Source organism: Homo sapiens, chromosome 5 (genome assembly GCF_000001405.40).
Source record: "Homo sapiens chromosome 5, GRCh38.p14 Primary Assembly".
Classification (NCBI taxonomy): Eukaryota; Metazoa; Chordata; class Mammalia; order Primates; family Hominidae; genus Homo; species Homo sapiens.
Window position 1 is genome coordinate 176,157,420 of NC_000005.10, and position 12,411 is coordinate 176,169,830.

Genomic DNA, 12,411 nt, shown 5'->3' on the forward strand with positions numbered 1-12,411 from the left:
CTCTTTTTTTATAGTTACAATGACAGTTTGTTATAAAGGATACAAATGAAGAGCCAGGTGAAGAGATACTCAGGGCAGCAAGGTCTGGAGGGGTCCAGGGTACAGAGCTTCTGTGCCCTCTCCAACTGGTCTGTCTGTCTAGCACATCAATAGATTCACCAACCAGGAAGCTCTCCAAGCCTTATTGCTGAGTTTTTATCTAGGTTTCATTTTATAGGTGTAATTGCTTAAATCATTGGCCATGTGACTGGGCTCAATTCTAGCCCCCTTCCTCTCCCCAGAGATTGGGAGGGTGAAAATTCCAACCCCCGAATTACATGATTGGTTTTTCTGGCAAACAGCCTTTATCCTGAAGCCATCCAGCCCATCTCCCCGCCCCACATCCATGAGCCATCTTGCTGGCATAAATTCAGGTATAGTCCAAAGGGGTTTGTATGAGTAATGAAAGACACTCTTATTCAGGAAATTCCTAGGGTTTGTGAAGCTCTGTGTCAGGAACTCGGGAGAAAACCTAAATGTACTTTTAAAGTTTATACCACAAGCTTGGAATTTGGGAGTGGTTAGCACCTATTGGAAGTGGTTGGAATCTATCTAAAAGCCTCAGTCAAAAGTGAGAGGAAGAATTTGATTTTAACATCCTATTACAGTATGAAAGTGCAACAGAACTACTGCAACATAAATGTTAGTTCAGATAGGACAAATACGGCCTTTCAATTTGGGCATGATTCGTTTTAGATGTTCTTGGATTTTTTCATCAAGTTAGGTGTAAGTGAAAGGACATGAAGCAAATCAAAGAACTTGTTGAAAAATTGCATCCCTGATAACTAGCGACATATTTTTCATGTTTGTTATAAATACCCTGTAGGTACTGCCTCCAGTGAACCAATTTAAATAAGATTCCCTGGGTATCGAAGCCGTGAGAACACGGGAATATATTGAGAAGGACATTTTCCTACTTTGAAAGGTTTGTACTTGGAATCTATGTGCTTGTATATCTTAAAAGAGGTTAGGAAAGGAATAACTTATCTGTTAATAGGAATACCTGAGTCCTCCGCAATTCTGGTGGGGAAAAAGGGAGTGAGCAGAGAACCACTTAATAAAAGTGGAAAAACTGTAATAGTGTTCCTCTGAGACACATTTTTACTAAAAGTATATTTTCTTTTTGTTTGAAAATCAGAATCAAAGGCATATTTAACTACAGTGAAAATAGCTGTTTTTAATCACTGAGTCTCTCAAATGTGACGTTACAAATTTAGATAACACAATAGTTTCTTCAAAGTAATATAAACCTAATTGTATTCACATGTTTACAGACAAGCAAAAGTGTTTTAGCATCTAGTGGCTCATTCAGGTGGAAGGCAGCTGTTCCTTAACTGCATCCTTTTAACCTTGATCAAAATGAAAACTTGTGTTTCTTTTATTCTGTTTTTTCAAGCCCACTTACTGTCTTTTTTCAACGGACTCATGATATTCACGTGTTCTCTTTTCAGGAGTCGGTGACCGAAAGGTATTAGTGAAATTAATTCTATGGTCACTAACAGGCTTCAGAGACATTGTGTCCACATTTTCTTGAAGGGACACTGAAGGAGTCTCAGTGTGTAAACATCCATCCACGTCCAAAACTGTCTCCGCATCTGATGCCACGTGCTTATGCTGGTGAGGAGACTGTGCCTCCTTGCACAGGGTCAGTCAGGTCAAAACCACCTTTGTGGGCATTTGCATCATGAAAATGAACAGAGCTGAGGGTCTTCACCGGAACATACTTTCTTGCATTTTCCTTTAAGAGAGAATCAGTAACAGAGCAATAGTAAGTTTTATGTTTCATAACTCATACTAAAATTTATGGGAAAATTATACAGTTGATATAAAAGTTGTATTATTTGAAGGAACAATATACACTCTTGACTGTATTCCAGACTACATGTGAACCAAACATAAGCAGCTGACCAAACCAAAAGCTATGATGTGGTCATGAAAAACACACACATCGACGGATTCAGATGCTGAAAGTGGCCTCAGGTTCCATTACATCAGGGCTCCCAACCCCTGGGCCCCAGATATCAACAGGTTCAGATACCAAAGTGGGTCTTGTGTATCCGTTTCATGAGAGAATGATAGAAATGTCAGCTTAACTTTTATCATGACCCACCAATGTCTCTACAAGGGTGGTCAGCCCATTAGTGTGACCAACCTCCTAAAGTTAATACGAGTAACGGCCCCTGAAAACACAGATATTAGTGTCTCTTCGTAGGAGTAAAATAGTGGATACTACAAATGCCCCTGAGCAGTCCAATAAAATTTGTAGCAGACACAGCAAATTTAGCCAGTGCCTTAAAATTACGCTCTCCATCACATCTTTCCAAGTGGCACGTCTTAGTCTCTCCTAAAATTGTAACTGCTGAAAAGGGGCTCAGATGTCTTCAGTACTGCTTGTGGACATTTGGCTGTCACCGTGGTCTCAAGGACCAATAAAACCTATTAACAGCAGCCCCTTCTGCTGTAAGATGAGCAAGAAAGGGAACGACCTGATAAGGCTCAGCTTCCGGAAGTTACAACATTAAAATGCTAAATAAAGCATGCTGACGTAAAGATTGAGATGTGAAAGTATTAGAAGAAGATACAGATTAATTAGCTTATAGTCTTCAGTAGATAACATCTAAGTATAATACTCTAATGGTCTGAACTGTGTCCCTCCAAAAAGATACATTCAAGTCCTGAGCCTGGTAACTATAAATTGTCATATTATTATTCTAGAACAAGGTGTTTGCAGATGCAATTTACTTAAGAATCTTCAGATGAGGTCTTCCTGGATTTGGGGTGGATCTTAAGCACAATGACCAATGTCCTTATCAGAGAAAAGAAGGAAAATTTTCAGACAGAGACATCAAGGCCAAGTGAACAGAAAGACAAGAATGGAATGATGCTGCTACAAGCCAAGGAATGTCAGGAGCCACCAGAAGCTGAGACAGCCAGGGGGGATTTTCCTCTAGAGCCTTTGGAGGGAGCACCACCCTGTCAATATCTTGATTTCAAACTTTTGGCTTCCAGAAACCTGAGGGAATAAATTTCTGTTGTTTTAGGCCAGCATGACTGTGGTAATTTGTTCTGGCAAGCCTAGGAAACTGACATACATTAAAGGCTGAAATGCATAAAGATCAATATATTTCCATAACATAGAAACCTCACAAAACTGATAGTTAAGATATGAATACCCCAATAGAAAAAGGACAAAGATGACAAAGAAACACCATGTAAAACTAGACAACTACTTTTCATATACGACACTTGCAAAGATGAAAAAGAAGCACAATGTGAAAAACCAGCTGTCTCGCCCGCAAAGCAACTTGAAATAATCTTGAATGAAAAATGCAGTTGTAACTTCTAGCTTCCAGTTCTGCACATCAAGAGCTTGGAAGTCAACACTCCATCCCAACAACAAGTAAAAAGATGAACAAACTGACAAGTCAACAATTCTTCTGAGATCTCTGAGAGAAGTGAAGTCACGGCACAAACCACCGCCTCCAAAGCTGGAGAGAGAGATAGATGAATGCAGAGAATTATAACATATGGGAGCATAAACTCCCAAGCAGAGGCCCCCACAGTAGCCACAGCCAGCGTAGGAAAGCCGGAAATGCAATCGAGGAACTGCTGCACGCTCAGTGTGGAAAAGTCTGAGGCTTAAAAACTCCAGGCCGGGCGCGGTGGCTCACGCCTGTAATCCCAGCACTTTGGGAGGCCGAGGCGGGCAGATCACGAGGTCAGGAGATCGAGACCACCCTGGCTAATACGGTGAAACCCTGTCTCTACTAAAAAACACAAAACAAAACAAAACAAAACAAAACAAAAAACTCCAGGGGGCCCAGTCATAGGTGGGCCCCTATGCTTTTGTGAGTTTTATCTCCAGGAACATGACCAGGTTCTCACAGCAAATATTGGAGAAAAATCCCTCTGGACTTCCAGCAGGGAGGGGGAAAGGGGCCACTTTGAAATATGACATGGCACTTTGTTCTTAATTAGGTCAGTCCTCAGGAAAACTGACTAACCAGAGCCTAACCTGCTGGGGTTTTAGCTGAGCCTAACTAGCCTAGAGGAAGGGAAATACCCAACTCCATTTCCCTCTAGCCACCCTGTTCAACCTGAGAGGGAGAAAGACCGAGACACACTTGTGAAGTGCACAGTCCAAAGGCACAGGCTCACTGAAAGACTGGGACCACATCCCAGAACTGTGGAATGCTTCCCCTCTCCAACGTTTTACCGCAACATGTTGAAAGCTGTTCTTTTTACTTAATATATGGTGTCCAGCTAGCAAGAGAAAGTTACAATTTAGAAAAAGGTGAAAAACACAGTTATATTAAGCACATTATGCTTAGGAATTAGAAATCTTTTGTTACTATGAGGTACTCAAACTACTGTGGAAGCAGGATAATGTCATTTGAAAGTGAGCATGGATTAATTATTGATGTATGTTGCAAATACTAGAGCAACCACTAAAAAAGTGGAAACAAAGAATTATGTCTCATATGCTAAAAAAGAGAAAATGGAATCATATAAAATGCTGAACTAAAACCATGTAAAGCTAAAACCCCTCAAAAACGCATTTAGTTCATCTTCTTAGATCCATGAAATATATATATTATATAGATAACCTTAAACATTTAAATTAGTTAGATTTTCCAAACCAAATTCTGATTATTTGCCTATAACATTAGAAATGAAAAGATAACAAGAAGTGACATTAGGAAAGATGGCAAAGTAGAAAGTGCCAGAAATGTGTGTCTCCACCTAGTCAACAACCATAGTGTACTGAAAAAAGACTCTCTGGAGTAACTGTTAGAACTCTGAGGTCTCTTTGAACACTTCCAGCTACCAGGGAAAAAGCTTAGCTGGTAAAGTGCAGTTAATGTGGACCAACTTCAGGCTTCAGCATAACAGTGGCTACCCAGCCCCAGGCTCACGGCCAACAAGTGTAGAGAAAGTAATCTGTGTTTCTAGGGCAGATGGCTGGAGCCACATTTGGCAATAGAACCTTGCCTCCGCTTTATCAGGGTTCTATGTCCTGACTGCAAATTGCTGCTTCTGATTGCCCGGGATAGGTACACAGAAGCTGCCCATCACTGTTTCAAACCCACTGGCTGAAGCAGCCTTTAGGAGACTTAAAGGAGCTGCATTTCTTTTCTTTCTTTTTTCTTTTTCTTTTTTTTTTTTTTGGTATTCAAAAATCAAACAGCATGTAAAAAAAAAGTATTCACCATAACCAGGATACACCATTCCTGGGCTGTATCCCAGGAATGACAATGTGGTTCAACATAAGAAAGCCAATAAATGTAATAAATCACATTAATAAAACTATATGATCACCTTAAACAATGCAAAAAAAAAAAGGCATTTGACAAAATCCAACACCTTTTTATAATAGAAACTCTCAGAAAACTAGAAATAGAAGGGAAATTCCTCAACATGATAAAGGGTATTTGTTTTAATCTACAGCTAACATCATACTGAATGATAAAGATGGAAAGTTATCCCTATAAGATTAGGAACAAGAAATGATGCCTGCTTAAATTGCTGCTACTGAATAGTGTACTGGAAATCACAGACAGCGATTAGAAGGAAAAGAAATAAAAGGCATGCAAATTGGAAAGAGTTGTAAAAGTATCTCTCTCTGCAGATTACATCATCCTATATGCATAAAATCCCAAAGAATCCACAAGAGAGCTACTGGAGCTAGTAAATAAATTCAACATTGAAGGGCACAAGATCGATACACAGAAATCAGGCGTTTCTAAACACCAATAATAAACAATCTAAAATATAAATTAAGAAAGTGATTCCATTTATAATAGCATCTAAAAAAATTAAGTACTTCGGAATAAGTTTAGTCAAGGAAGCAAAAGACATGCTGAAAACTACAAAACACTGTTAAAAGAAAGAAAACCTAAACAAATGGAAAGGCATCCATCCTGTGTGTTGATGAAGGCTTAATCCTTTACAACGTTGAATTTCACAACTTCGTGGATATGACAACAAAAGCACAGGGAGCAAAAGAAAACATAGATAATAACACTATATCGTAATTAAAAATTTTCGCACATGAAAGACTAATATCAAGAAAGTGAAAGACAACCTACAGAATGAAATATTTATAAATCATATATCTGTTAAGGAATTAATATCCAGATGACATAAAGAACTCTACAATTCAACAACAAAAAGCCAAACAACTCAATTAAAAACTGAGCAAAGGACTTAAATGAACAGCTCCCCAAGGAAGTCATACAAATGGCCAATAATTACATGAAAAGATGCTCAACATCACTAGTCATCAGGGAAATGCAAATCCAAACCACAGTGATGTACCACCACCTCACACCTATTGGGATAACGATAATAAAAAGAAGGGGGTAAAAGTGTCATTTAGGATGTGGAGAAGTTGGAACCCTGCCGTTTTGCTGGTGGATGGAAACTGGTGCAGCTGCTGGAGAAAACAGCGTGGCAGTTCCTCAAAACATTAAGCATAGAGCTACCACAGGACCCAGCAATTTCACCTCTGCATATATATTTAAATAAACTGAAAGCAGGGACTTGCACAGGTATTTGTACACCAATATTCACAGCAGCATTATACTCAAAAGCCAGAAGACTCAAAACATCCAACTGCCCATTGACAGATGAAGAGAGAAAAAAAGTCATATATACAATGGAATATTATTCAACCATAAAAAATGACATTTTGACATATGCTACAACATGAGTAGACCTTGAAGACATCGTGCTAAATGAAATAAGCCAGAATAGGAAAGCCAAATGTTGTATGATTCCCCTCACATGAGGTTACCCAGAGTAGGCAAATTTATCAAGACAGAAAGTGAGAAAGAAATTTGCTTAGTATGGTAGCTTGTATTTCTAAGTTCTGTAGAGGTCATACAATAAGGAAGGCAGGCTACTTATTAAATCAAGGACACAATATGGTTCTCTCAGTTAACACAAACTGCATGGCCTCAAATTAGGGGAATCATCATCACTTTATAAAGTAATGTATTTTAAGGCTGACCTACAGGTAGAGATTTTTATGCCACCCAAGCAATCAAGCTTTGATGTGGATGTTCATTCCACATTCTGCCCTGATCCTCAGCTGCCAGAGGTGAGGCTGCACTGGCCTCCACACTACCTGCCTCCCTTCACGGCTTCAGGATCAGAGAGCTGGGAGGCTCCTACATACGCGGACATCTTATGGATTTAACACTTTCTTTTTTTGTTGTTTGTTTGTTTGGCTTTTTCTTTTTTTTTTCTAAAGACAGGGTATTGCTCTGGAGTGCTGTGCTTAGATCATAGCTTTCTGTAGCCTCCAACTCCTGGGCTCAAGTGATCCTTCTGCCTCAGCCTCCCAAGTAGCTAGGAATACAGGCATGCAGTACCACATCCAGCTAGTTTTTAAATTTTTTGTAGAGACAGGGTCCTGCTATGTTGCCCAGGCTGGTCTCAAACTCCTGGCATCAAGCAACCCTCATGCCTCCACCTCCAAAGGTGCTGAGATTACAGGAGTGAGCCATCATGCCTGGTCCAGGTTAAATACTTTCTTCGGAGATGGACTAGAAATGGATCATCAGAAATTATGTTTGTACTCACACATGAAGAATTCCAACAGCCAAAAATTTTTAGAACTCAATCAGAACTTGAGAACTTCTCTCAGTAGGCGCTACATGATCCAATGACGCGGATTCTGCTTTAATCAAGTTATTTTACAGTTATCCAAGTATTTCTTTTATTTTCCTACTAAGTTTTCAGAAGGGAGATTATCTACATATGACCTACACCACCAAGCAGCACACCTATCACTCAGAAGGCTCCTGATCATTCTCTCATTTGAAACAACCTGACCAAGATTCCCCAACAATTTGTGAGACTCAACCGTATTCAAACTAAATATATTGTTTTCAATAGTCATTTATCAAATAGTTGCCGTACTATAGCAGAACAAGATGTTAGCCCAAAATTAAGTCACCACAGATTGACCTATTTATAAAGCTTATCAACAATCACATTTTGACAAAAATCAAAACTAATAGATGCTATCTCTCTTCTGTTTTTCCTTTTGTGAGATAGGGTCTCACTCTGTCACTGCAGCCTCCACCTCCTGCGCCCAAGTGATCCTCCCGCCTAAGCCTCCCAAGTAGCTGGGACTATAGGCATGCTGTGCATGTGTGTGTGTGTCTGTGTGTGTGTGTGTCTGTGTGTAGAGACAGGGTCTCCCAGGCTGTCTTGAACTCCTGGGCTCAAGCAATCCCCCTGCCTTATCCTACCAAACTGCTAGAATTACAGGTATGAGCCACCATGCCTGGCCTGTTATCTCTTTCTTATTCCTAATTTGCTACCTCCAACTGGCTGAGGGCTGGAAATCCATTAACTAAATAGATTAAAATTACAAAACTCTGCACTGTTGCCTACACATACACATCAATGGTATCGCACATCACGGTTACACACATGTCCCAGTGTCTACAGCACAGCACTGGGAGGAAAACCCACGGACTCTGGAACACTCATCCTGGCTGCCTGAGAAAATGCCTTTGTATTTTATTTCTATGTAACTGCTTCCTCTGGTTAATTACAAATTCTTGAAGCTGCTGAATAGGCAACTTCTAGGTAAGTGATGCATTTCTACCCATAATAAAGTACTATACTGTGGAATACAGTTACTCTAATAGGAGTTCAGATCAGTTCATGTAGTCTAAAATGATTAAAAAGTAACTCAAGACATGACCAAAGACTGGAAAGATGGTTATAATTTGGATTAGGGACAGAAGAGAGAAAAATGTAGAAAGTAAAAGAGACAGATAATGTGGGACCAGATGAAACAATACCTTAAGAACTGTTAATATGAAACATAGGGACATAGAGAATATTATACACAAAAAAAGCCACTGTAACAAGATTAATCTGCTGCTTTCAAGCATGACGGAGTAGTGAGACACTGTAGATGGGGCAATGAATTAGATGTGTTAATTAGCACCTTGAACTTGAATTGGTGTAAATGAAATAAACAAGAAAGAAAAATCTTTAAGGCAAGGCTTGAGGCTGTACTGACAGGATTTAGGCCTTCTGAACCTCATCTCCCTTAAGATGACAATCCTGTCTCTTGCTGCTTTAGTCCACTCATAGAATTCTGTGAGGATGGAATGACTGTCTCCATAGCACACACACTCCCTCCAAATAGTAAACGCCATTCTACAGTCGTGAGTCGTACATTACTAACAAAGGGCATAATGAATAGGTAAGGGTCAGAAATGCTGACCAAGTCTCAAGCACAGAAAAAATGGGGTGGTATTAACCAACAGAAAAAACAGAAACAATGAAAAACAAATATGCTTGAGCGAGGTAAAAGGTCTGTTTGCTTTTTATTTAATGTCTTGACATTGGGCCAAAGAACTTTCCACATGAATGATCTAAACACAAGACATTAAATATTTAAATGTAAGAAAATTATGTGAAAGAAACTTACATACAGAAACATTATTGTAGTAATTTTTTATACTTTTTCTATAGTTTTCAGATGTCAACAGGAATTGTTTCTTTGAAAAAAACTGGTATCATACAAACACAAAAGACTCCTTATGCCCTTCATAGGACATCTAAAGCATAACTTACCCTGCTAAGGTCTGGAAATACCATTCACATTTTTCTGCCATTTCTTTCTCAATTATCCAAGCACTAGAGGGAAATGGCATGATCTGTGTGCCTTCTACTACCTCCAGTAACTACAGAATTACCTGAAAAATACAGTTAATGGAGCAACGTCCAATCTGAGCAATCTAATATAATAACTGCATCCTTCTTGTCAAATCATTCTTTTATGTAAACCTAATACTTGGCATTCATATGACAAACTCCACAATTTGCATAGAGAGAAAATACACAACAGTAAGAGGCAATAATAAACATGATAAACTACTACCATATGAGAGAATTCACAGCTAATTCTCGATGTCTGGGTAGAATACAATCATTCATAACATTCAGCCCAAGAAATACAGACTATGGTATTTCTAATAACACCAATTACCCAGGTATTCTTAAAAGTTCTTTTGAAAAGTTTTAGACTTGAGGGAGTGGAAAAGGGTTAATACATGCTAAATCATACCAAAGAAATAATTTTTTAAAGGTGAAGTCAAACTTAGAATTTAAGAACAAAAGAACTGTTTCGTACTTACTAGTCCCAGGGAGACAAATAAACTGGCCCACTTACCAGTGAGAACTGCTTCCTCAGGCTCTTCGTGAGTTGTTTCAGAGGAGTGTGAGCCCTGGGAAATCCAAGAGCTGTTAGTTTCTGATTGAAACTTAGAGTTTAAACTGCGGTTTTTATTTGCCTGTTGAAAGAATATCCTGGCTGTATTAATCTTTTAAATTAAAATTGAACATTTTCAAGGGGCAAATGTAGGGAATAGGCCATGTCTGCTTCACTGAATAACGCAGGCAGTCAATGTAGAAGGAATTCAAGAAATTGCCACCGTCACCGTGAGTGTAATCAACGTTTCCCAGAGGCTTCAGCAGTGGCACTGAAACCAGCTCTGAAGGGTTGTCAGGGAACAGGATGTTCACAGGGCTTTCATGTCTCATCCCACAGATGACTGACTAATAACAAAGGGGAAAGGCTACCTTCACAAAGAGATGCCTAGCTGACTCCACCTTGGCCAAAATTACCAAATACAGCATCACAAATTATGGGACAGACAGACTCAAACGTCTCCTGGTGTGAGGCACTAAGAAGTACACCACGCTGCCCATGTTTAATCTGAATCCACTCATTAGGAAACTGTTTAATCTGTATTCTTGCAAAAATGCTTAATCTCATCTAGTCCAGGCAGGGGAGCAATCAGATGTATCTAGATTGCGAATCACTCTGAAAAACAAAGAGCCTAGATTTTACAAAATGTTTCACACGTCATGAAAGAATGACTCCAAATTAAAAGAGAATACAGAAATATGACAACCAAAGGCGAGGTTAATCTCTGATTAAACTGTGGATCGAAAACAATACAAATAAAGGACATTTGGGAGATAATCACATAAATTTCAATGTGGATGGTATATTAATTTAAATTATTGTATCAAAGTTAGATAATAGAATTGTGATTATGGAGAAAGATGTCCTGATTCACAAGAGATAGATGCTGAAGTATTGGGGTAAAATGTCATGTTCTCTGCAATTTACTTTCAAATGACTCAGGGAAGAAAGTATGAAGACAGAAAAAACGCAAAGGTGGCAAACACTAGCAACTGGTGAATCTGGATGAAGAATATGTAAATCTCCATTGTGTTAGCCTTTGAATTTTCTGTAGGTTGAGGGAGAGGTAGGAAGAAGGAAGAAAAGGCAGGCATTCCTCATTAATTCATACCTGGAAAAAATGGAGTCCAAAGACAACCAGAGGCTTAAATTTCATGTGAACATCCAATGAGGACGATAGTGATTTTCTAATGCCAAATTTCGGAAAAGCCATAAAGACTGGAACATTCCTGACTAGGAGCACTTGCAGGTAATGTCCAGTCTTTTTCCGGAGGCTCCAGTCCTTCTAGATCTTCATATGTTTAATACCATCACTCATGGAATTGCCAGTTATTCAAAATAAGCCTTTAAATGATCATCATCAAACATTTCATCATCAATATCATCATCTATTGATAAAACTTAGGAAAAAATAGGACACACTTTAAAGCGTTGACTATACAATAATTTGTAATAAAAAGGCTGGTAAGACATAAGTGAGTCAATGAACTATATGATTTTGTTTTTACATTTGACATGAGAAAACTCAATTATAACTCATTATGAAAATAATATTTAACCTCTTTGAGAGGACATGAAAGAAAGATCCTGGCATGTTATCAAAAGTTAGGATGTGGCTGGGCACAGTGGCTCACGCCTGTAATCCCAACACTTTGGGAAGCCGAGGTGGATGCATCACCTGAGGTCAGGAGTTCAAGACCAGCCTGGCCAACATGGTGAAACCCTGTCTCTACTAAAAATATAAAAACTAGCTGGGTGTGGTGGCATATGCCTGTAATCCCAGCTACTCAGGAGGCTGAAGCAGGAGAATCCCTTGAACCCAGGAGGCAGAGGTGGCAGTGAGCCAAGATCGTACCATTGCACTCCAGCCTCAATGACAAAGTGAGATTCTGTCTCAAAAAAAAAAAAAGAATGTGATAAATGTGGCATCATAAATAAATGGGAAGAGAGCAGCAGGCTCTTCAGAAAATGAGAGCCTATCATAGGAGAAGTAAAAGGAAGAAAGGGAAGAACCAAGGAAGAGAGAGGGGGAGGGAGGGAGGGGAAGGGAGGGAGAGCAGGGGGGAGGGAGGGAGAGAAAGAGGACCTGCAGGGGTTCTCGATGTTGTAACACCCAGCTCTGCAAGGTC

At 39.3% G+C, this 12,411-nt stretch overlaps 1 pseudogene across 1 annotated transcript in view, besides 1 other annotated feature; it reads right to left on the reverse strand.

The window, feature by feature from the left end:
• CEP192P1 (CEP192 pseudogene 1) overlaps positions 1-12,411 on the reverse strand; it is a 56,211-nt pseudogene that overhangs the window by 14,335 nt on the left and 29,465 nt on the right. The window contains exons 16-17 of the transcript NR_036494.1: positions 10,244-10,298; positions 1,445-1,777 (exon numbers count right to left, since the gene is read on the reverse strand). The product of NR_036494.1 is annotated as a CEP192 pseudogene 1 (transcript). The remainder of the gene's footprint in view (positions 1-1,444; positions 1,778-10,243; positions 10,299-12,411) is intronic.
• Positions 3,667-3,907: a silencer, noted in NCBI's record as "fragment chr5:175588089-175588329 (GRCh37/hg19 assembly coordinates)". NCBI's record gives its function as "represses an EF-1alpha promoter that drives an FKBP-Casp9 reporter gene in an ReSE screen in K562 erythroleukemia cells {active_cell/tissue: K562}" and the evidence as "EXISTENCE:reporter gene assay evidence [ECO:0000049][PMID:32094911]".